Source organism: Homo sapiens, chromosome 18, assembly GCF_000001405.40.
Source record: "Homo sapiens chromosome 18, GRCh38.p14 Primary Assembly".
NCBI lineage: Eukaryota > Metazoa > Chordata > Mammalia > Primates > Hominidae > Homo > Homo sapiens.
This window is the reverse complement of record NC_000018.10, coordinates 24654473-24678878: the sequence shown is the minus strand read 5'-3', so window position 1 is coordinate 24678878 and position 24406 is coordinate 24654473. Positions and strand designations below refer to the sequence as shown.

Genomic DNA, 24406 nt, shown 5'->3' with positions numbered 1-24406 from the left:
GAATGACTAACCCAGTATTCCTATTAAACCCACATGTGAAACCTACATTGAATGACACTCATTCGAGGAATGAGTCTTCTCAGCATTGGAATATACACAAGCACTCATGTTCCAAGCAGTTAGAAAGACCTCAATTCACATGGCTCAATCTGCCAATTAATTAGCTTTATGACTTAGAGCTAGTCCCTTCACTTTTCTTCACCTCAGCTTTCTCATCTGAAAAATGGGGATAATGTTCATTAAGCCCCTTCCTTCAGCTTCATAGGATTTTGGATTTTGATGAGAAAATGCATGTGAAAGCCAGTCCATTGGGAACTAAAAAGCATGTATGGATATAAAGTTATTTTTTAACTTTGGTAGGCAGATTAATGATTGTTCGTAAATGCTTGAAACTAACAGTATATGAGAATAACATAAATAACTCTGCATTGATGAAGCTCTTTAAACCATGAAGACTGAACAACAACAAAGTGTTCTTTATTCTGGGAACTCATAAGTCCCTTTCCAGCAGCAACAGTACTGAGCTGGGATTCAGAGTCCTCCATCCACTCAGCCCTTTGTCACCACCATGTGCCTTTCTCCTTTGTCCACATGCCACAATTGATTGTTACTATTTGATGCTAGGTCCACTTCCCTTCCAAACTGTGAGCTCCTTAAAGGCAGACAATGCCCTATCTATTGCTCTTCTATTTTTATCTGTAGCCCCCAGAACAATGCTTGGAACACAAAAGGGGCTTCATATGTATTCACTGAAAGAGTAAATTAATTGTAACCTCGGACTGTCATTTAACCTTATCCCCATTATAAGAAAACAAAGTGAGATTACAGTTGCTCTAAGTCCTTAACATTAATATTTTCTTCAGTCATAGTAAGCAATACCAAGAAATATTTGACATGTTATTTGGAATAGATAATTAGGAACATACATAGAGATGAAAATTTCAAGTATTTGCAATCATTTGAATGGGTTCAAAACTCTTAAAGGGTGGCATTAGAATGATGTGGTTTCAAGCATTTCTCACCAGAGGAACAGTTGCCTCCATGCACAACAGAAAATGGTAACAGCTTGGGCAGCAGGTGAAGCTCCAGTCTAGAAAAGCTTTTTGCCCTTATGTCTCTCTATTTTGCTGGTTGTCCCTGAGCTCACCTGTATGTGTCAACCCCACCTCACCTTACTATCAAGTAAAAGATACTAGTTGGTTCTTAACCCCAGATAAAATATGCTAAGAACCTCAAGAACAGGGTGACTACTGTAGAGGTGACTCTGGCCCCTCAGGATGGTGCATTTTTAATCTGGCGCAGCTGCAGCCTACGACTGACCACTGAGCTGCTGGAGGTGTTGCTGAAGGTCACAGGAGGACAAGCAGTATTCATCATTTCACTGTGGTTATTATCTGTAGGGACTTGTTATAATTGTTGCAAAATATAATTGTGCCGATTGATTTCTTCCACCTTATACTCACTGCTCATCTATATTTAAAAATACATTTGAGGTATTTTTCCCCCAATACTATCTACCACCCTCAGAAATTTGAAAATAAGTGGCCCAAATTCAAAAATCAATGTCACTTAAGAAATGAATAAGATCAGGGAGTAGCAGGCATGACTTTCAAATAGCCAACCCTGTGAGTCATTAGTCCGGGTTAGTGGCCAAATTCTGATGCTCCTCACTTTTTTTTTTAATCACTTGCTCATAAGTTAGACCCAAGATATGCCTCCAGATGGCTAACTAGGAAGTGTCCCTGTTCTAGGAATCTCAGGAACAGCTGGAGTACTAGAAAGTTCACATTTCAGCCCACCCATTTTGATATAGGTTGTGATGGGCTCCAATGCCAGCATTCACAATGGTGGGGCCACTCTCCATCAGTCCTCCTTTGGCTCCATGCTGGGTCTTGCTGGTGTCTCAGAGGTGATTTCAGCCTTCAGTGCAGAGATATGCTCTACACTTCCATCACTGATCTGGTAAGCTATCAGCACACGATGTTTGTCATCTCTGCTTCAGCTATTCTATTTCAGTGCTAACCCTACCATTCAACTCTCCATTCTTGAGGCTTCCTTAAGAATCAACAAAGACAACTTTAATTATTCATTTAAAGCACCCTGTTTTCCTGAAGTGACTCAATCTCACAGAAAAAAAACAAAAACAACTTAAAAAAATGTAACTTCATCAGTGCCATGGAAATAATCATACAGAAAAACATAATTCCACAGAGCTACCTTAGACCAAATAGAAAATTGCAGGAAGGGTAGAGGACTGGCCTGGTTTCTGCATTGTTGCTGTAAGAAAGTTGGCATCCTTGCCTGGAAAGGCCTCCAAATTAACACCTAAAAATACTTTTTATTTGAAAGACTCCCAATGTAAGATTTGTAGTTCACCCCAAAACACCAAAAGGGAACAGGACACTAACTCTTCAATAATGTTGCTACTAAATCTTAAATGGGCCTTCAGAAAGCTATCTTCTTAAGAAGGTAATCAATGAAACTTCCTAATTCAGAGCATGTCACAGAAGTAAAAGCTTAATCTCTTAGTATGACAATTAGATCCCTGGATTTGCTGAGCTCCTTTAATTCATTCTATTATCCAATAGGTTTCCGGTTACGTTTTGTCAGAACACAGCTTTTCCTTATACTGATGACTTTTTTAAGGCGTACTTTCATGTCACTTTTAGATGTCACTTATAGAGCATGTTATTTAACTCATTGCCTTGATTTCTTTTCCAGGAGTTACTGGATATTGACAGTGAACCAGCTGCTTTGCTGAGTTCCTCATATGCTATCTTGCCAATCCTGATGACCACAACCCTGCATAGGCATCATGAGATTTCAACAGTGCTCAAGTTCAAGGTCACACAACAAGTATCAGACCTGTATTCAAACCTACCTCTGTCTGCCTGTAAAATCATTCCTTCTCTGGATATTCCTCCCTAAAGTTAAATGTCATCTTCTCAATGTGAAATGTCTCCCCTTCTCCCCAAACTTCTAGTCAAGATGGAAGTGAGGACCTATTCCAACACAATTCTTTGGGCTATATTTCAAGTTATCTGCTTCAAGAGCTCCCTGCAAACTCATTTCCTCCTGTGCACTGATCACACTCACAGAACAATATATGACTGGTGGAGCCCAAGTTTCAGGTGGGCAGTAATCAGTGAGGAAGACAAGCTTACTTGCAACCTTTTCCCAGAAGTAGAAGGTGAAGCATAGTGTTGCAGAGGAGAAACAGGAGAAGAGCATTCATTGCCAGTGCCCCCAGGGAGCAGGTAGCCCCTGCTGGGTGCTGGAAAAGCCCAGGGGGGCAGCTCCCTCTGGGTTATGGAGCCAGGGTCTCCAGGAAGTTTCCCCTACATCTACCTTTTGCTCCCTTCCTCCCCTCCACACACAGTGTGAGGGCTTGCTGCAGGGTAGAGTTAATGCAAAATGTGTCCTCTGACAGATCATATTTTCTAAACCAAAAAATCAATACGCATTGTTCTCACCATAGTAAATAATATTTGAAATTGAAATAGACTTGGAAAATCTGAGAATAAGGTCTCCCTACAATTATTGTTGCTTTCTGTGAACTGCTTGTTACTTGCAACCAATACACCTATAAATAAATATGTATCTAATTAGTCTTCCCTAAATTTTATTTTATTAAAAAAGTAAACCCTATTTGTATACATACACAGACTACGTTATTTGTTCTTCCTTACCAAGGCTGTCAATGTTGAAGTATATTAAAGAGGGTTTACTTGTAAACATTATATCAATTAATGACATGCATTGCCTAATAAATATAAAGTACACTCTTACAAAGCATAGCCTAAGTCTTTCAGAAAAAATACCTACTTATGTATGATTATTAGTCAAAAAACACATTATCAACTCTATCCTTATGGCACATGGCATATTCTCATACCTTGGCTCAAGATGACATTTGGGTGAAAATTCTTAAATATCATGTGATTACTCAGTCATCAATTGAAAACAATTTACAGTTCTTCTTGTCGATTATAATTACTGGTTTGCTTAAGCAGAGATATCGATCTGTTTCACTCTCTGCTTTGGAAAGTAAGAAATGCAAGTCTAAATTTCACAAGTGTGTGAATCACACATATAGAACATTTTACTCACACTACCCAAGGTGGGTTCAATAGTTTAGCCCAAAAGTTTCCATGAACTTTTTTCTTGTTCTGTTTTCTTCCATGACAAAGATCCACGGATTAGAGCATGATATGTCAGAACTAACTGGGATCTTAAAGATCTTCTCATTGTAGGTAATTGCTTTATCAGCACCTGTCTTCTGATGGTGTTGATTTTTCAAAGACAACATTCTTGTTATGCACTGTTTCAAATAGTGGTTGTATCAGTTAAGATGCTTTCAGTTCCAAGTAACAGAAACCCCAACTGAAAGTGGCTTAAACAATGAGAGAACTGTGTTACCTGATGTAGCAAGAAGTCTGAAGGTGGCCAGTTCCCAAGAGCAGGGTGCTTTGCATCTTTCCATTCTGCTGTGCTCAGCAGGTTGATAAAGCTTTCGTCTGTATTTGTAAGTTGGCTACAGCAATTCCAGATGGTACACGCAGACGCCACATCCAGCAAAGAGGAAGTATTCCTCCCAGGCTTCCCTTTATGGATTTCAAGAGAAACATTTCCTAGAGGCTTCCCGTACACATCCCACAATTGTCTTACTGTAATCAATATTTGCCTCTAGGGCTAGGGAGGGGTCTCTGAAGCTCCTACAGACCCAGTTTCTAAACAAATTCAGTACTCTACTAAGAAGGAAGAAGGAACTGGTTGATTTGGGATAAGTAGTCAATAGTTTCTGCCACAGGAGTCTCCCAAAATAATCCGTCTTGCCTATTCACCTTAGTATTAGTATGAGTTTATTATCTGTTCAATCCCCTTAACATTATCACCTCCACAAATTGCGCATGCTTCCACATTTCCAGGAAGTCTACCAAAATTTTCAACATATTTCCCTTTTCTATCCTGAGCCAATTTTCTCCTAGGGATTTAAAGAGTAACTAAATACAGAATCATGTGCTATATGTGTAGGCCTACCCAGGAATCATGCCTCCACCATCATTCAATTCTGGAAGAAAATCTACCCAATTTTCACTTTCAGCAAGGAAACACATCGACACACCCACACACTACAGTCCTGTCTGAGGATGGAGCAGTGACCCATCCTCACCTTTCCCAACTACAACTTTCTTCAGAATATATGTACTCACGAAGTAGTGCAGATTAGCCATATTGCTCTTCATATCATTTGGATGCTCACAGATCTTCACCAAAGAAAACTAGAAAGGCAAAATGCCTCGATTGTGATTCTTAGCCAACCAGACTATTTAGCGGCTGAATCAGGTGTGCCTCATTCTAACATTCTCCCTCCTCCCCTATGTCTGATTTGCTTCAGTCCTGGGGCACTTGGGCCAGCACGTATTCTCCTAGTTAAGATGTGAGTCTGCTCTAAGATTTCCAGCTTTTTTTCATTGTTGTTCTTCTTCTGTCTTGGCCCACAAATACAGGATTTGGCTGGTGAGACCGTTATTGGTAGCCAGGTGGTCTTCAAAGGAAAAAACCAGATCGCAGGGAGTGTTGTCATAATCTATAATTTATAAACCCTGTCACTGTGTTAATTGCCATTAGAAATTCATTATTGTCACAACCAGCATTCACTGATGAGACACAGGTCAGAGCTCTCTCCAGCTGCCAGAAGAGTAAAATGTGCCAAGACTGTGGTGGGGGTTGGCAGTGGGGGGGAGCAAGGGCGGTGGGGGAGGGGAGGTCAAGAGACACTCCCAGGTGCAAGGGCTTGAACCTCATTAGCCCTTTCCCTGTAACTGTTTACACATGAGTGTGCCAAGATTGCATACACCTTGGGAAATTTCCACATAAACTTGAACTGAGAGGCCCACAAAAGAATGATGGAGAGTACCATTATAGCAAGATTGTATGGACAGCATCATCCTGAGGGGTCCAAATCACCTGCCTGCACCCAGTGTTGATCATGTGGAACTCGTACACAGGAGCCCCATCAAATGTACAGGAATGTTCGATGATTCTGCTTGCAGGCATTTGTCTGCCTTTTCAAAGCTTTTCTATTTTCATATCCACACAGTCACAGCTACACTAGAGGGCACTTGAACCCCACTTTTACTGCAGACCAAGTCATTGACTCAGGTATTGGTGGTGCTTTTGGAAGGGGGGCGAGGAATGGGGAAGTGGAGGAGGGCAACGGGAGGGGTATATTTATTTTAACATCTTCAATAAACCCATCGGTATTTGAGGAAGCTTCCACGTCAGACTTTGGGGACCAAAACCTTAATTATACAATATAATTGTTGTTAATGGAACGTGTACATTTCAACCCAGCAAGATTGGTGGTGTTTAATGCCAGCATGACATATTTCCCAAATTGTGGTCTTTATTTGTATAAATAGGAAAGAAGCAAAAATTGCATCAGCTCTCTGCATAATGAAGAGGGAGGGAAGTGCAGCCTGTGCTGTGGTGGCCAGATGCTCTTTTATCTCTTTTCAAATCAACATGCAGAGCTGGTGGCCCTCAAACAGAAAGCATCTTTCCCAAGGGATGGCAGAACTGTACGTTTGGAATGATAACATTCCATAAATAAATAAAAAAGATTATTAAGAACGCTGTGTAAATCTCCTAGTCAAACACCCCTTCAAGCAACCATCATCAGTAATTCAGTTTGGTCCCTTAATCCCACTGTATACAAATACACAGCATAAATACAGTATTTAACAAGCACCAGAGAGAAAGCAGCACTCTTGCAATAAAGACTCATTTAGGAAGAATGAACATGCCTTGCCCCCAGTCCTGCTGGCCGCCCCCAGGATTCAGTTCTTGATTTGACTCTCCCACCTGGATGAGATGTCCAGCTCACATGACTGAATCCCTGGCATAACCCCCTATTTAAATAAAACCTAAAAATATTAACTTTGGTCCCACAACCTTTTTGTTCCACATCAGGGAATTCACAGGGTATCCATTAGAAACCATATCACATTTACAAGGCTCCACGGACTTCCTTAAGCCTTGATGCTCCAACGGGTTATACAGGCTAAGAGGTGGGGATGAGTGCAGATCCGAAGTGGGTGGGTGAGGATCTCCCAGCCTCTCAGCCCTGGCACGGGGACTTGCTTTTCTCCAGGCTATCTGGTTCTCTCTGTTTATTCTCTGCCTGCTTTCCTTGTGTCTCTCGTTGTTTCTCTCTAAATCTCCATCTTTCCCTCTCTGTCCCTCTCCCCCTCCCTCCTTTCCTCTCTGTCTTTGTAACTCTCCCTCAATTTTACTCATTTTAGTGGTTCACTCTTTGGATCTAGGACCTTGGTCAGCATGAGCATTGCACTCACAGAGAGGGTGACACGTTTCCTGATGGTGAGTACAAGCTAAACATGATGCCCTGGCTTTTCTCGCTGGCTTCTGGAAAATTGTGACAACCTGCAACCTCCAGGCATGGGGCTACAAACAGGCTAGTGCTCAGCTGTTTCCTCAGCTGAGTTACTAGCCCAGATAGAAGCACTTTGAGTATCTAGTTAAATGAATGCCATACTTTTTCCTTTCTTCCTCAGCCTGAAAGAGAGAAATAAGATGGCCCAGGAGACTCCAGGGCACTCTGCCCACTAAGCATCTTTTTGTGAGTGAGAGGCCATTTCTCCAGCTGTCCATTGCAGCATTCCACAACCCAGACTGCTGCTGTCCATGCTGATTGGTGTTTGAGAGGGCAGAATGGACCCCTGATTCACTTCCCATCAGGAACACTTGCCACCAGGAAACCCCCTCAATCTACTCTTCCCTTGCCCTTTAAGACCTTCTATTTCAGGGTCCTCCCCCTGCCAGATTGAAAGATGACAGACTGAGGACAAGCCCTAAGGGGACAGAGAGTCTAAGGCTCCATGTTCCAACTCTGCAAGCCCCACCTCAGCTCAACTCAACACCTTAGACCTTCAGCTCACAGGTGATGGGGCCAATGTGATTCCATATGTGTCATGTTTCTTAACCATGATCTAATACCTGATTTTTCAACTGTTAGCAAAAGTTGGCTTTTAGAAGCATCTTATTCTTACTATTTTTATGATCTTCTTTGTTATATCCAAATTTCAATCAAATATGGTGGAAAATGAACTATATTAATTTGCTAGGGCTGCCACAACAAAATATCACCAACTGCGTGGCACTTAAACAACAGAAATTTATTTTCTCACAGTTGTGGGGGCTAGAATTTCAAGATCAAGGTGTAGGCAAATTGGTTTCTCCTGAGGCCTCTCTCCTTGGTTTTCAGATCTCTGCTTTCTTGCTGTATCCCTACAGGGACTTTCTTCTATATATGCATGTCCTGGTGTCTCCATCTCCAAGTTTCCTCTTCTTATAAGGACACTGGTCAGATTGGGTTGGGGTGAAGGTATAGGACACAATTCAGCTACAACAGAAACTTTCATATTTCAGATATCATCTAAATTTTTGCCAAGCTCAGCCTAAAAAGAAATGGAAGGCCTGTTTCTAATGCACCGTTGATGCACTGTATAACAATGACATTTAATGAACATTGCAGTGATAAAAGAAAAAAATAATTTGCAGTTACAAATCAATTTCTAATAAATCTCTTAAGGATTTTCAAAATTCAGCTGCTCACAAGCAAGATTTCCTTCCCTAGTTAAAAAGAGGGAGAGAGAGAAGGAATTTTGCCTGTGATGTCTTTTATTTTGTTTGTTTGGAGGAGGGGGTTATCATGATTGTTTTGGTCTTACAATATTTTCTGCTTGGCACTTTCTTGACTGCAAAGCCTTTTGCTATTGTTTATATTTATCACATTCTTTTAATAAGCATCGCTCCTGTCCCAGTTCTCTACAGGACACTTGTGAAAACTTGGAAAATATTAATTGCTTAACAGTCCGCTTGCAAGTTGAACAGGCAGATAAGGAGGAAAAGCCTTTCTTCTTTGACAAGCTTTCCATGAAACATAACCCCAGGTTTGTTTCTTCACTTATTTTTCCCTTTAATAAATGTGATGGGGTAGTTTGGAGTGAGTCTGAGCATTGTGGTTAAATAGGAAAAAATGCTGCTTCGGACCTCAATTACATTGCACAAAAGCTATCCCAGAGGTCTGTCTCCCGCTCCCCTGTGCCTGATGCTTCAGCAGCTGCTCAAGGAGAGACAATTCCCTGAGGTGCCTCTGGCCCTGGTGCTGTCGAGCCAGTGCAGGGGAGGCCAGGAGACCCCACAGCTGGGTAAGGCTTCTCCCTTTGAGGCAGCCTCCAAGACTTAAAGGAATTCTTGTTTACTACAAACTGGCTATGAACTACAGCCCTTGATGTTTTCTATGCCTGGGCCTCTGTGTGTGATTTCAGAAAGCCATGTAAAAAAAAACAAGAGACCTTAGGTCAGATATGGTAAATAGAGTATACATGTTTATCCTTCTCCCGCCTAAATCCTGATTGAAATGACAATAAAAGAATTAAAAAGATGTAAACCCACAAGTCAGCAAGAACAGGAGAGGTAACAGCTGTAGGTAAGAAGTCAGATTTGTGGAGCGGGGAAGGGATGGGGAAATGGTAATTACCTCAGCAGAGGAGAAGAGGCTATAATGGAAGAACACACAAGTTCACCCACAGAACCCTTGACAGACTGGACATCTGCACACCATAGCTTCCGTGGAAGCTGGCAGGAGGCCTGGGCTTGGAGCAGAGATACTGACTAAAAGTCTGTATTTGTACACAGTATGTATCTGCTTCTTCCCTCACTCCACCCCAGCTCACCAAACACTAGCTCTTTCCCTCTGGCCTCTCCCAACCCATTCCCTGCTCCATCCTTTCCAGGCAGGTAAACATGTCTTCTTTAGAGAACTTCAACCAGAGAATCTTCATGTTCTGGTAACAACAGGGTGTGAGGCTGAAAACAAGGCACTAGGTGGAAGTCTGTCTTCCAAGTGCCCTTTCTGTCTCTGCTTCCAGAACACGAGTGCCCAGATGTATACATTCCAGGCATGAAAATGAAGGATAATTCTCCAAAAAGACTGACTGGCCCTTGGGACAAGATCCACAGAGACTTCATCTGAAACGTTCTTCATCAATCAAGTAAGCCCACTCATCTATTGATAATGCTTACTGAGGGGCAAGCCACCCCATGCACATAAAGTCTCCTCTTAGCTTTTTAGTGTACCACTTCTTAATCATAAATAAACATTTAAGGATCACCAGACATTTGTAGAAGACCTCAACTATGAAAAAAGAGAACTTAACAAATAAACTTTTTTTGGAAGGCTGAGAAGACATAGAGACAATAGAGGGAGCAGAAAAATAAATAACAAAAACAAACAACCCTATAGATATTATTGTCATCTGAAAGTTTTGAGAAAGTATTGCATTCATGAAACAAGAATAAGATGCAATTAAAAAGTATAATCGGAGTGAAAAAATGAATTAGCCAAGATAAAAAATATTCAATAGAACACTTGGAAGATAAGGTTGAGTAACTCTCCTTGAAAAGCCAAAGAAAAAGATGAGAATGAAGAGAAAGAAAATTAGGGGACCAAGCCAATGTATCCAACATCTGAAATTCCAAGAAGGGAAAGTGGAGAGAATTATGGGGTGGAAATAATCTAATAAGTGGTTTAATTTCCCAGAACTGAAAGACATGAGTTTCCAGAGAAGGCCCAGCATCATGTATTTAAAACAACAACCAAAAAAACTACCTAAGCAAATATTATGAAATTTCAGAATATCAGAAATAGGACAGATTGTAAGTTGACAGAGAAGAAAACCTGTCACAAAGGATAAGGAATAAAAATGGCATCATGCCTCTTACTAGCAACACTGAGGCCAGACAACAACATAACAATTGATATTCTGAGAAAAAAAGCATGTTCAGTCTACATCTATACCAAGACACACTCTTAATCAAGTATGAGGGTAAAACAATGAACTTTCAGATAAACACAGACTAAGGTAATATGCCTCTTATGCACCCTTTCTCAAGACTAACTGGAGTCAGTGTTTCCCTAAAATGTTTAATCAGCTAACAAGGTGCTATGATGTGGATATTTGACCCTCCAAATATCATGTTGAAAATTGATCCCCATTGGTAGAGGTAGGGCCTGGTGGGAGGTATGGGTTGTGGAGGTGGATCCCTCATGAATGGCTTGGTGCCATTCTCGCAGGAATGAGTGAGTTCTCACTCTTAGTTCTCATGAAAATTCGTTGTTGAAAAGAACCTGGCACCTACTCCCCATTGCTCTTTCTTCCCTTCGCCATGTGATGCCTGCTGCCCTTCATCTTCCACCATGACTGGAAGCTTCCTGAGGTCCCCACCAGAAGCAGATGCTGGCACCATGCTTCTTGTACAGCCTGCAGAACTGTTAACCAAATAAACCTCTTTTCTTTATAAATTACCCAGCCTCAGGTATTCCTGTATAGCAATACAAATGGACAAACACAAATAAAACAAAATTGGAATCCAGGAAAGGAGAGAGTGGAAAACAAACCCCAGAATAACATAGGAGAGGAATCCCAAAACAACTGTTCAATGAGCCTGAAGAGCAACCAATGCAGACTCTGGGAGTTTGGAGAACTCTAGGAGGAAAGCCTCCAACCTGGGAGTAAGGGCCAGGTGGGAGAATTCTAGATTATTTAATATCTCGAACTTGGGGAAAACTGTTTGAGAAGCATTTACACAGCTGTCAGAAGATGCAAGGAAAATTAGTGATAGATTCACAGAACACTAAGCAAATGGAAAAAAAAGACAGTTATTAACTTCTGGGAAAAACATTGTATAATAGACTAGATGTAAATATAGTACTTGTTTGCCTCAGTAGTAAATAATATTTACATAGCCACAATAATGTAAACCCTGAATATGGGCTATAAATATGAAAATGTGCTACAAATATGTTGAGAGGAAAGAGAAAGGGGAAGGGAATGATTAGAGAAAAGTTTCACAAGCATAATACAGAGTAAATAGGTAATATCTAAAAGAGATAAATCAAGCATTAGTAACATTAGCAAATTATTTATGAATGTGCAGGTACATAAGAAAAAAACTAAGAAAGCTAGAAGTAGCAGGCAATGAATGGAGAGAAAATGGGGAGGAGAAAAGTGGAACAAGGGTGCTGCTAGGTTTGATTTTAAACCTTTAACTGATAAATTGAATCATGAATTTGTGTTGGAGGAGATTGTTCATTTGTTTGTTTTAGAGACAGGATCTTGCTCTGCCACCCAGGCTTGAGTGCAGCGGCATCATCCTAGCTCACTTCAGTCTCAAACTCCTGGGCCCAAGCAATCTCCTGCCTTGGCCTCCCAAATCACTGGAATTAAAAGCATGAGCCACCATACCTGGCCAAATTGCTAAAATTATGTCCACATAGATGACTTTAATAACTATACAAATAATACTAAATAAATGAATATAAAGAAATAGGTAAGAGAGAGAGAATGAGGCAGACAGAAGAATGGACAGGAGGTAAGGTTTGAAGGAATAAGCAGGAAGCCTGCCATCAACACCAGAAACCATGAAGGGAAACCCAGGCTGAGCCAGGCACAGGTGCTGTTTTGCCAGAAATGCAAGACGAGCAATGGGGAATCAGGCAGAAAGAAATTGCTTTTTAGATTATGTAGGAAAGATTCTGGCTTGGACTGAGAGAAAAATAACATTGGAACTAAGGAAAATGTACTGACTCCTAGGAGAGTCTAGCAGAAATGAACCTGCAATGGTCATGAGCCAGCCTTGCATTGCCCAACTGCAGGGGACACTATCCCCATCAAACTCCACGTGACCCATGCTCCCTGGAGTTATGCAGGTGGATGCACCAGCCCTGTGGGTAGACATAGGGATCCAGGACCTAAATTCTTAAGACCTTCAGCAATGAAGATACGTTGCCCATAAGAAAGACATTACTGCCTTAGTCTTAAGAAAATATGTTCTAGGAGAGATAATAAAATGACAGGCCCCCAAGTGAAGTTTTTTTTTTTTAAGAGACAGGCTCTCACTCTGTTGCCCAGGCTGGAGTGCAGTGGCATGATCACAGCTCACCACAGCCTTGAACTCCTGAACTCCTGAACTCCTAGGCTCAAGTGATACTCCTGTCTCAGCCTCCCGAGTAGCTAGGACTACAGGTATGCACCACCGTGCCCAGATAATATTTTGGTTTTTTCTGTTGCTGTTGTTGTTGTTTTGTAGAGACAGGGTCTCTCTTAGTTGCCCAGGCTGGTCTTGAACTCCTGGCTTCAAGGGATCCTCCCACTCTGCCTCCCAAAGTGTTGGGATTACAGGCATGAGCCTCTTGGCTCAGTAAGAGGAAGTTCTTAAGTCCTCAAGTGGTAGAAGTGATAGCAAAGCAGACAGCTGGGCTTGGAATGGGGTCTCACAGCCATTCCCTAACAAAAGTGAGAGATCTCAGGCAGATCACTTCCCTAACCTTACCTAAGTGTCAAGACATTTACTGAGATGAGGAGTTGCACTAAATATGGAGTAGGGCCCATTCCAGCTCTGAACACTTAGCTATGTCTAAATCACACTGCTGGAGGAGCAGCAGCTGCCTCATGGACAGAAGTCCTCAGCCACTGCCACTCCATCAGGTTCCCCACAGGGTTGGGTACCATTTCACAACACTTCAGGTTCTGCCCAAAGGGCTTCTTCCTCTTTGTGCCACAAAAGCCACTCTACTGAATGTTCAACCTGTACCTCGAGTCAGGTCTAATCAGATTTCCTTTGGTGTGTATTTTCTTCTGATTTTAATGAATTCATGGTGAAGAACTAGTCATAATCCTCTACTAGCTCCTTCTGGAACAGGTGTTTAGTGGCAGAGGTTGCCATGTGGCATCCTTTGGCGTGTCCCTTCTGGTTGTTCCATTTGAGTTGGAAGGTGGCTACAGAGACTTAGCAGAAGACAAAGTCAGGATATAAGACAATCTTCTATATAGTTGCCAAAAGAAGTGCTAGGTGGTGAAAACATAAAACACACAGGATTTGTAAGTTGGCCTTAAACTCAAGCCATAGTCCTTTTGGTCCACACACCACCCACTGAGTTTATGGAAGCCCACTTATTATCAAAGCAGTGCCCCAGCTGACAAGCAGTGTTGTCATTTCCACTTTCTTGGACTAGGGTCATCAAGATTACTGCAATCTAATTCTGAGTCTTCTTTTCAGCCTTTTCTGCTTCACACACTACACAAAAAGGCCACTCCCTGAGCATACTTTATCATTTCTCATTTTCACCCTTTTTCTCAAATTCCAAACCTCTGGACTGTTTCTCGTTTACTCTATATTAGGAGTCCTTTGCACCTTTCCAGATTCAGACCCTGACCCCCACCCTAGCACACTTTCCCCAAACCTCACTGGCTGAAGTTTCCTCGCCCACCAAGCTTCGAGACATTCATCCCCTTTAGGACTCCACAGCATAGACAAACCTTCACAGCCCTGCTTCCACCATCTTGAATATTACTTAATGATTCCTCTATCTCTGCTAATCTCACCAGATTATAAGTGCCTTAAAGGCAGGATATACAACTTGTACTTCACAGTCCCTACCACAGCAATTGGTCCATACCTCAATAATACTCCTTTAATATTATTACTGAATAAAAAGCGTTTCAACAGCAGACACCTCTCACAGGTCACAATGGACATGAATAACATGTCCATTTCTTCAACTCTAGGATCATTTTTACTCAACACAACTTGTCACTCAAGTTTAATGACCTTCACTACCAGAAGCCCAGAGTTCTAGAGTTAACTGCATCCTACTTGACCCTGGTGTGGTATTGGCCAACAAAGAGGCAGCAGGACAAAGAACACACAATGGAGCTTGGGGCTCAACAACCTGGGATCTGGGGCCAGACTCCACTTTGAAACTTTGGGCAAGTTATTTCACCTCTTTCGGCTTTTATTCCTTCCTCTGTAAAATTATCCTCTCTCCCCAAAAATAACTGTTTGGTGAATCTTAACCTCTTTTATGATTCTGTTACATTTTACAATTCTTCCTTCAAGAGAGAGCTCTGCACAAGACTCTGAGTAACAATTGAAGAGATGGATCCAAGCCTCAGTTGGGCTGATGAGAGAACTTCCTTGGCCTCCCTATTTGCAAGCTCTGTATGAATGGTTTTGGTTGTTTAGCATAATAAAAATACTTCTAATAACAAACATGAAGTTCCTGCAGGAAATTAAGAGTGTGATGATTGAAGATAGCTTTTCTTTCACCAAATGTTTCTGGTCAGCTTCTGCTCACTCTGTGGGGAGGGAGAGGTGTACACAGGCTACTCCTGAGAGAAACCTATCTCTTGACCATCCGTAGGGGTTGAGATTTACACATTTGAGTATCGTTTTTCTCTTGAGGCTTTCACATTGAACAACTCCTTTTTTTTTTTTTTTTTTTTTTTTGAGATGCAGTTTCGCTCTTGTTGCCCAGGCTGGAGTGCAATGTTGCAATCTCGGCTCACTGCAACCTCTGCCTCCTAGTTTCAAGTGATTCTCCTGCCTCAGTCTCCCAATAGCTGGGATTACAGGAACGCGCCACCACACCCAGCTAATTTTGTATTTCTAGTTGAGATGGGGTTTCTCCATGTCAGTCAGGCTGAACAACTCTTTTCTTCCGGGCCTGAGAGTTATATACTGAATGACCTTCCCCCAGGGCCTGTGAGCTGCGCTGCACTCTTGGTACTTGGTCAGAGAGACAAGAGGCTGCTGAAGTCTGTGATCAGCCTGTCTGCTGGCTGGAGCCCTGTCACCAGGGGCCACTTTTACTGACTTCAATATCCATGTAAGGCAAGAGGAATGACAGAATAGCTGTGCACTCAAAAATCACAGTGTTTGTCCGAGTCTTAAGAACCATTTGCTACTATAATGATCACCCAGTTATTTGTTCCACTGTCCTAGGGAGAAGCTTATATTTGGGAGAATGGGGAGAAGGAAAGAGGGAGAGAGGGAGAGATACTCTCTCACACACATGCGCAGAGTGAGAGAGGAGACAGTGAAAGAGGAAAGAGAAAAAAAGGGAGAGAGAGATGAGAATTTGAAGAACTAGAGTGGAGATTAAACAGAATTCGCCCTCAGAAGCCTCACGCACCGGTGACAAGCCATGCAGGAACCGTCGTGTGGAAGGGCTTTGATGGCTTTATCCTCCAGCCCGAGAGCAGAGCTAGAGCTGCAGGGCCGGGTGTGCAGCAGCTGCACTCTGCCTCTACCTGCTGCAACCGAGATTTGTCCTTAAAGTGCCCGCGAGGCGAAGTTTTCATGAGCTGTCTCGGCAATTGATAAGTTGTTGGTCGGGAAGTGGAGACATTCACAGGTTCAGACCTGAAGCCTGGTCCTCAAAATGAATTGGAAGCATCTGGCTGTTTTGCTGTCTGTAGGTAATAATGCAGCCGCGTCACACACCCAGATGTGATTCTACATTTCTGCAGCTGTTCTGGTGGGAGTTTCAACACCCAAAACATCTGCTGCTGGGACTCTGTGGTACAATTCTCACTCCATCTCTCCGGGTTCTTATTCTTTTCCCAGAAAATGTACTTTCTTTCTGCTCAGTATTTTTTCTATTTTTCAAAGGAGTTATTCCCAGCAAAGGGATACCCACCAAATTCTATTTCACATGGAAGAGAAATTCATATCATCTTCAAAATTCACAGGCAAACTAAGGGGTTATGATGCTAATTAGTTTTATGAGGTTTGATGAGACAGAACATTAGAACCAGGCAAAGAATTCATAGTTTATTGCACATTTAGAAGAAATGGCTTTAATACAGTCACTTCTGTATGTTAAACAAAATAGGCATCATGTTTAACATTAACTTCTGTATGTTAAACATAAACAGAACATCTTTAAATTAAAAAATGTTTATCTCCGGGATATCTGTCAGCATCATCAAACTGCACACATAAAGCTCTCTCAGTACTGCATATTTAGTCAATAAAATACGCTCGTAAAGCATGAATTCCTCAAACATTTTAGGTGATAATATAAAGTCACATAATAGCTTTAAAGGTCAATAAGAAATATCAAGAGTCATAAAATATGTATCCACTTTGACCCTGTAATTTCTAGGAATTTATCCTAAAGAAATTATCTTATATATAGAAAAGGCTTATTTATAAAGATACTTATCATGGGATTAATTACAGTGAAAAATGAATTTGATCTATTGTCCCAAAATACAGAAATAGTTAATAGACTGTCTCTACTTCCATAGGACACATGGAAAGTCAATAAGAGGGACTGAATTGTTCCAGCTGTTTGGGCAGCAATTAAAAAGATAATTACTGAAGCTAATCATAACTTGGGGAGATGCTTCTGACATAGATTAAGTGAAAAAGCAACATGTAAAGTTGTTTGTACATTATGCTTAGAATCATACCAAAACTCAGCATTTGAAAATGACCCAAAGCAATTGCTCCAAAGCAATCATAGCTATTGCGTTTGAGCAGTAGAATTATGAGAAATTTTCTTCTTTATTTTCCTAATTATTTATGAAATGGTTATATTGCTTGAATCAATAAAAAGACAAAGAAAAGTGAGTTCTTACAGTATGGCCAAGACACAGAATCTGCCAAGGCAAGGGAGTCTGGAAAAAAAGCAAGACCACTTAAATCTGAGGCATGTTTTCAAACACAATCTAGAGCAAGCTGACTTCAGACAGAGGCCTGTTTCCCCACTACAACCGCAGCTGCCTATTTTCTCCAGCATTTTAAGGAACCCAAAGTGAAATTAACCCAAGATTCTGACTTTCACCTGACAGAGCTGGAAATACAGTGACCAACTATGAGAAAACCACCAGCTTCAGATGAAGGCTCATGAATAACCACATATGGGGAAACTTATTTTCCTTCATTTCAGTGATCAAAAAAACTTGGAATGCAGTTCCTCTCTTTGGTTCCACCAAGTAACTTTTCCAAGCTCTCAAAACTTGGGAAGGGTGAATATAGTACTTGTGTCTCACTGCACCCAAATGCCTTTGCCAACTCCTATTAAACTTGAATGGGAAAACAGATAAGTGAATATTGCTTCGGGCTGACTTTTTTTAAAAACACTCCTCTCAAATTTTAAAATAATACAATTGATTTTTTTAATATCCAAAAATAGACTGCTATTTCGTAGCATTTGGGAGGACAGTTTTCCTTTAGAAGTGAAAAGGGATGATTGAGTGATAGGAAACTGATTAATCTCAGGATTTCACAAGGAAATGCCGACCCAGCATTGGGCCCTCACACACACCATTATAATTCTTTGATTTCCTGTCACTGCAGACAGTTTAAAAACTGAAAGTAAATAGGAGACATGGAAAATCAATGTGAGGTGCTGAATTGTTCCAGCTGCTGCGGCTCTGTTAATTACATCATATTTTTATGGAGACATTCGGCTCAGACGTGCCAAGTGACCGCATCTGGAAGCATCGCCTGCCATCCTGTTGGGGGAAGCTCTTCTCCCCAGGCATCTCGGTTAACTGCAAAAGGACAAGCCACCCCAGGAAAGCAGCTTGTACAGCCCAAGTCTCTGAGGCAAAATCCGGAAGATAAGCGTGTCTTCTGTTACCACAGCGATGAGGTGCTGGGCACTGGAGAGGGGCCACACCTGTGCAGGAAGTGGGTTAGTCGGTATGCGCGGCGCACACCTAAGGAAAATGAAAGTCTATTCTACTCGGATGGCCAGGCCAAGGTGGGCTAAGTGGGAGACAGCCGAGAAGAGACCACAGGGAGCAGGCAGAGAGGAACAGTGAGAGCAAAAGTACGGGGCTTAAAGTGCCAGGCCCGGGGGAGCCACAGTGGGCTTCCAAGACAAAGTTCTTTGAGCACCTACCTCCTTGCCAGGACAGTAAAATGAAGCTCTCAGCGCTAGCACAGACTTCACAGACTGTTTCAATAAAGGCTGTTCCTCATTTCCTTGTAATTTACATGCTTCCGAAGTGCTTCCTGGTTTCTCTTTCTCCTCTCCATCTCATTTCCTTGCATTTTTCTTTCCTCGCATCCTTCCAGAAGTTTCCAAGGCCCCACTTTCTTTCCAGCTTTATGGGTGCTAGGGCCAGCTTCTTCATCCAGGCATCTCTTTCTCAGCACAATTCATTCTCCTTTTCTCTCTTTGTTTTTCCCTCTACAGAACCTCCTTCCCTCATCTATTTCTTGCTATTTTTTTTCTCATTGTAGCTTCTTGCACAAGTAGCTGGATGAAAGAAAAATCTAGTGTTACCAAAGATGCTCTGAGACATTCCTTAATGTCCAGTCCCTGCTGCCCACCTTATCCTTAGTGATGGGGTCTGTCTTAGGCGCAGTCTTGGCCCAAGCCTCTGATTTTCCAAATCCTGCATTCCTCAGAAAGCATCTAAGGGCTCTATACATATTTTGTTTTAATTTCATTATTTAAATATGTATTTCAAAAGTATGACACCTATCTCCTATTCTCTAACCCCCCACCTGAAAAGAAAATTACACATTTTTAGGTAAATTAAATGTACATTATATTTAAATGTCAACGCATGAACTGCATACGTACATAAATTTAACACATGTGGAAGTGCATTCTGTTTTTAATATAAATTCAATATAAATTGTATCTTTTTAAAACTTACAACCTTTAGCACATTGTGAACTTGTGCCTATCAAGTAAATCATTTTGTACATATCTGGGAATAAAGGTTCTTATAGTGTCCAAGAACTGTCTCCTTGACTAGGAATGTGGTAGGGCTGCACTGATATTTGCATAAATTCTGGCCTGTGCCTGGCGGTTCAAGTAAAATTGCCTAAAAGCACATCTTACAGCACATGAGTGAAGGGCTTGATCCAATGCCAGCAAGGGTTCCTGCCTCTCCTTGGGGCTTTCTTTTCCTGTAGGGTAATTGCATTCGTGTAATAGTAAGCTAGGTTGTACCATGTCAGAGACTATTTAAACTCCTGTTTCAATGTCCTGGTTGCTTTCTGCAGTGACCTTTCAATGAGAGGAATTTGAACATTTACTAAATATCGTGAGTGATCCAACCTTAAAATATAAAGTTCCTGTTACTCCTCATCCAAGAGTCCAGTTCACTTTGTCTAAGGGAATCTCCTAAAATTGCAAAGCCAGCTGCCAACAAACTTGTCATTTACAGCATTTATCTGAGCAAATTTGCTGATTCCAGATGATCTAAGGCTGAACTGTTATCTGTAGCCACCAATTTCTAATTTTTGTGTTCATTCCAACAGCTTCATCTATATAATTTATCATTATAAAGATAATTGTTATACATTTGAAATAAAATGTATATTAATACATTATTTAATTGGCTTTATCAACTGGTATTTCCACTTAGATTTCATTTGAAAAGAAATGCTTTGCCACCAAAAAAAAAAAAAAAAAAGTTGAGAACTGCTGGCTTCACCACTGTCCCCCAGCCCCCTCCTCCTCTCCATCTCCCCCACTTCTGCTTTTGGCCCCAGGGGACCCATTGCCTATATCCTGCCTCCCCACCAACTGTCCTTGCTCTTCCAGGCTGTCCTCTGCTCCCTTGCCTCCTCCTTTCCAACTTGACCCATGAATCTTTCCATAGAAGTCTGGCCATCATGCTCTAAGCTGTCTGCTCTAGTGTGATAAACAGACTCACACTAAGGGAGTCGTTTCTAAAAATGATTTGAGGGGTTACCACTGCATGGTGGGAGGTGGGGGTGGCAGACTGACATCTTACTCTGAACTCCTTAAGTCTTGTGAGTTGATGTAAAAAGGCGAATCACCCACAGTGAAATTTTAGGCACTTTGACATTCAGAATAATCTATCAGAGGCAACCCATGGTCCATCTCATACTCTTTCAAAGTGTTTCCCAAACTGTCAACTGAGCACACTAGTATCAGAACCACCTGTGAAGTGCTTACTAAAAAGGCAGATTCCTGGTATCTAGGCTGAACTCTTTGGAGGCTAAGACCTAAAGCTGCCTTTTTAGCCAGCTCCTCAAATAACTCTGCATGTTGAAGTTCAAGGGTCCCTGCTGCCACCGTCTGCACGTGGACGTCAAAGGCAGGGGCTGAGTGGGGACGCTGCCTCTGCCTCCATGGGAAGATACAGACTGAATGGCAAGCCAGGGAAGAGAAGTACACAAGCAAGATGAGGACCACACGGAGACAGGACATAATACCTAGTGAGCATCCTGAGAAGGAAAAGAAAAAGAATGCAAGCTCCCTTGTCTCCAGCTCCAAATTAATTGGTCAGCAGTGGCAGAACAGAAACAGATGGAGGACGTCTGAACCACAAGGCAGCCCAGCTCCCAGCACATCCTGGAGGAAACAACAGCAGGAAGGGGAGGGCCGTGCACGGCAGTGCTTGGAGGCAAAGCCACAGGCCATGGGGGCCTGGTGGAGGCACCAAGCCCTTCTCCGTCCGATCTGCCTACGTGGAAGGTGTTTGTTGCTGGATGCACTGCCTTTTCAGCACTTCTCCAGGGCAGGCCCAGAATTCCTGGAAGGCCCAGGCAGAAAGCACTTGAGCAGAACAAGCAGAGTCCCACTTCCTCAGGCTGTCATTTGTACCTCTGTTCTTCCTTAATAAAAATCCACCATGCACTCCAAAAGAGTAACTAGGACACTTCGTTTTTATTCCACATGCATCTCATTTGTCTTCAGTAGGTTCTTCCATAATCTCATCATTATTGCTATGGCCCTCAGAGGACAGCTGACTTGCATTAATCAGGCGAGCCCCTCATCGCTCACCAGATTCTTTACACTTTTACCATGCCCTGGGGCATCCTAACTTACTTGAAAAATTAATAAACCTCCCCCCTCTTATCTTACCTTATTAATGTCTGTCTTTGTAACCCATTATCCCCGCATATCATCAGAGATCACTGGAGGGTGCGGTGAACACCAGCTTGCTCCCCTAATTCTATTCCTGAAACTGGAACACCCCTCTCCCTGAATGGCCAGAAAGAAAATGGCCTTTGTGGGCCAGCAGGGTGTTTGTTTACCAGCTCAGATGGCACTGTGGACCACAGGCAGGAGAATTCTTAGGCTTCAACTAAAGGCTATTAAGGCCCATTAAGTTGTTCTCTCCTCCTCCACATCCCTCTCCCCCTCTCTTGTGCACCCTAGTAAATCTGACTCATTAGCTTTAGATGTTTTGAAATAGTGGTACATTAATCACTTGTGTTTGCACACTGTTTATGTGGGTTGTTGGTCATGGTCTGTAGTTATACTGGCTGTCTCCCTTGCTTACTTAAAGGTACAATCCAATTGAAAATAAAGATTTTTGCAGGTTTGCTCATTACACACAGTGTCGGCAGCTGGTGAGTGTCTTTTGCAATTCATCAGAGGCCTCCAAGACCACCTGCTCTCGGCATCCTGCAAACAGCTGGCTCTGGGTAAGTACCATAAGCTATTACCTTATACAACAAATAAATAAATAAAGGGATGGATGGGTAGACAAATAAGTTGAATTGTCTGCCCTGAATCATTGCTTCTGGAAGGAAAAAGTCCATTTTAAAAAAGGGAAAAAAATATATCTAGCCCAAACTTTTGGGGTTCCATTTATAGGAAAAAAAAATAGGAGGGAGGTGAAGCTCCCAAAACTTTGAGTGGAAATATTTTGTCATTTGAGTCACAAGGCAGTCAAGAAAAGAACTCTATGACAGGCTGGCAATGTGGTTTGGTACGGAACACGAGAAGGGGTGGGGGATTGAATTTAATTGCCTGCTGGATTTTTTTTTCTTTTTTTCCAGGAAAAGCCACAGGGAGGCTTTGTGGAGCTTGAGCTAAGGCCACCAGATGTCCCAGGATTAAGAAGCCAATCCCAGTTTCCAAGGTCGTCACCACTTTAATTTTTTGTAACGTTTGCCTCAATTTTTAACCCTGAAATGACCCTCTATGTGGCCATGCCCTACTCCAGTCCCTGAAGAAAAGCTAGAGATGGTGGGAGCAGGAGCCAAAAGCTGGGCACTGGCAAGAAGGAAGGACAAGTTTAGAGAGGAGACACGTTGCAGGTCAGCCACAATGTGGCTGACCTTGACAATACAGAAACCAAAAACCAGGTGAAGGTCTGGGAATGGGTGTCATTTTGAGAGGTTTCCAAAGTTTATCACAGACAGCCAGAAACTTCTCTGAGGTCTACTGAGAAAATTCTTATAATTTGAAGCTGGATCCTGGATAACCCAACACAACTACGATCCCCGTGAAGGAAAAAGTTATTCATGATACTTGTTAAAGAATGGCAAGGCAAACTCTATTCAAAGGGGCTACTCCAGTGGGTTTTTTTAGTAGGGAAGAGAAATTGGGCTCAACTCAGAATACAAGGAAAAGTGGGAATTTACAGGCAAGGAGGTCAAGGGGCAGGCTGGGGAGCAGTCCATGGGAAATTACTAAGAGGAAACCTCAGGGTTGGATGTGGTGGCTCACACTTGTAATCCCAGCACTTTGGGAGGCCAGGGCAGGCGGATCACTTGAGGTCAGGAGTTCGAGACAAGCCTGGCCAGCATGGCAAAACCTCGTCTCTACTAAAAATACAAAAATTAGCCAGGCATGGCTACATGGCAGTGCCACTACAAGCACGTGCCTCCAGACCTCCAAAGAGGAGTCAGGAGGCTGAGGCAGGACAATTGCTTAAACCCGGGAGGTGGAGGTTGCAGTGGCAGAGGTCACATCGCCACTGCACTCCAGCTGGGGCAACAGAGTGAGACCCTGTCTCAAAAAAAAAAATAATAAAAGGGGGAAACCTCAGGGGTAAGGGGGATTCTGCCTAAACTGACCTAATAGGATTCTTGCTGACAGCAGGCCAGGGTGGCCAGACATCACCTGAGGAGCTGGTGGGTGGAGGATGAAGAACCCCATCAGATATCAAGGGTGATCAGATATCATAGGTAGGACAGTCTGTCTAAACTGACTTAACAGGGTTCCTGCTAAAACTGGACAATGCATGGAATTCAGTGAATACGAAAGTCCAAAGGTCAGGGCCTAGTTGGATTCAGGGCCTAGTTGATTAGAGTTTAGTCCACAAGAGAATCTTTGTCATCCCCAGAATGATTTAGTGTGGTCTCCACGAATTGATCAAAATTTGGCTGTGTCTTTTTACCTTGTCCTTATAAAACTGGAAGGGAATTCTGGCATAGGATGGGTACCTAACTGACTCACTGTTTATGAGCTTCGTCAATCAAATGCCTGAATGAAGCTCTTAGAAATTGCTATTTTTATCTTATGGCTGGTTAAAATCTGAAAAATCCTGCAGCTTCATTTTTGCCCCCTTTTTTAGTGTGTTTTTAAGGAGTGTTTATGGATTGAATTAATGCAGAAAAATGTTTTGCGTTTTAACACATTGAAAAGTTGGAAAATAAAAAATCAATATTCCTAAATTTTTCTTACTTTGATTCTTCAAGAACCTTGCTATTAAGAACCCAGCTCTTCTGTGAGGCTGAGGAGCAGTAGCATCAGCATCGACTGAGGGACTTGTCAGAAATACAGACTCCCAGAATCAGA

General features: G+C 42.2%; 2 long non-coding RNA genes across 2 annotated transcripts in view, besides 1 other annotated feature; one reads left to right on the top strand and one right to left on the bottom strand.

Annotated features, from left to right (window-relative positions):
* The first annotated feature begins 7293 nt into the window (after positions 1-7293).
* On the top strand, positions 7294-10041 carry LOC105372027 (uncharacterized). Its single transcript, XR_007066315.1, has 5 exons — positions 7294-7383; positions 7578-7642; positions 7829-7963; positions 8847-8975; positions 9957-10041. It is a non-coding gene; the product is annotated as an uncharacterized LOC105372027 (long non-coding RNA).
* Positions 10042-16680: 6639 nt separating this feature from the next.
* LINC01915 (long intergenic non-protein coding RNA 1915) overlaps positions 16681-24406 on the bottom strand; it is a 34017-nt gene continuing 26291 nt past the window's right edge. Inside the window, exons 2-3 of the long non-coding RNA NR_040033.1 lie at positions 18785-19144; positions 16681-18559 (exon numbers count right to left, since the gene is read on the bottom strand). This is a non-coding gene — a long non-coding RNA (long intergenic non-protein coding RNA 1915). The remainder of the gene's footprint in view (positions 18560-18784; positions 19145-24406) is intronic.
* Positions 21455-22857: an enhancer, noted in NCBI's record as "VISTA enhancer hs1169". NCBI's record gives its function as "enhancer in: midbrain (mesencephalon)[7/8] | forebrain[5/8] | trigeminal V (ganglion, cranial)[4/8]" and the evidence as "EXISTENCE:transgenic organism evidence [ECO:0001131][PMID:17130149]".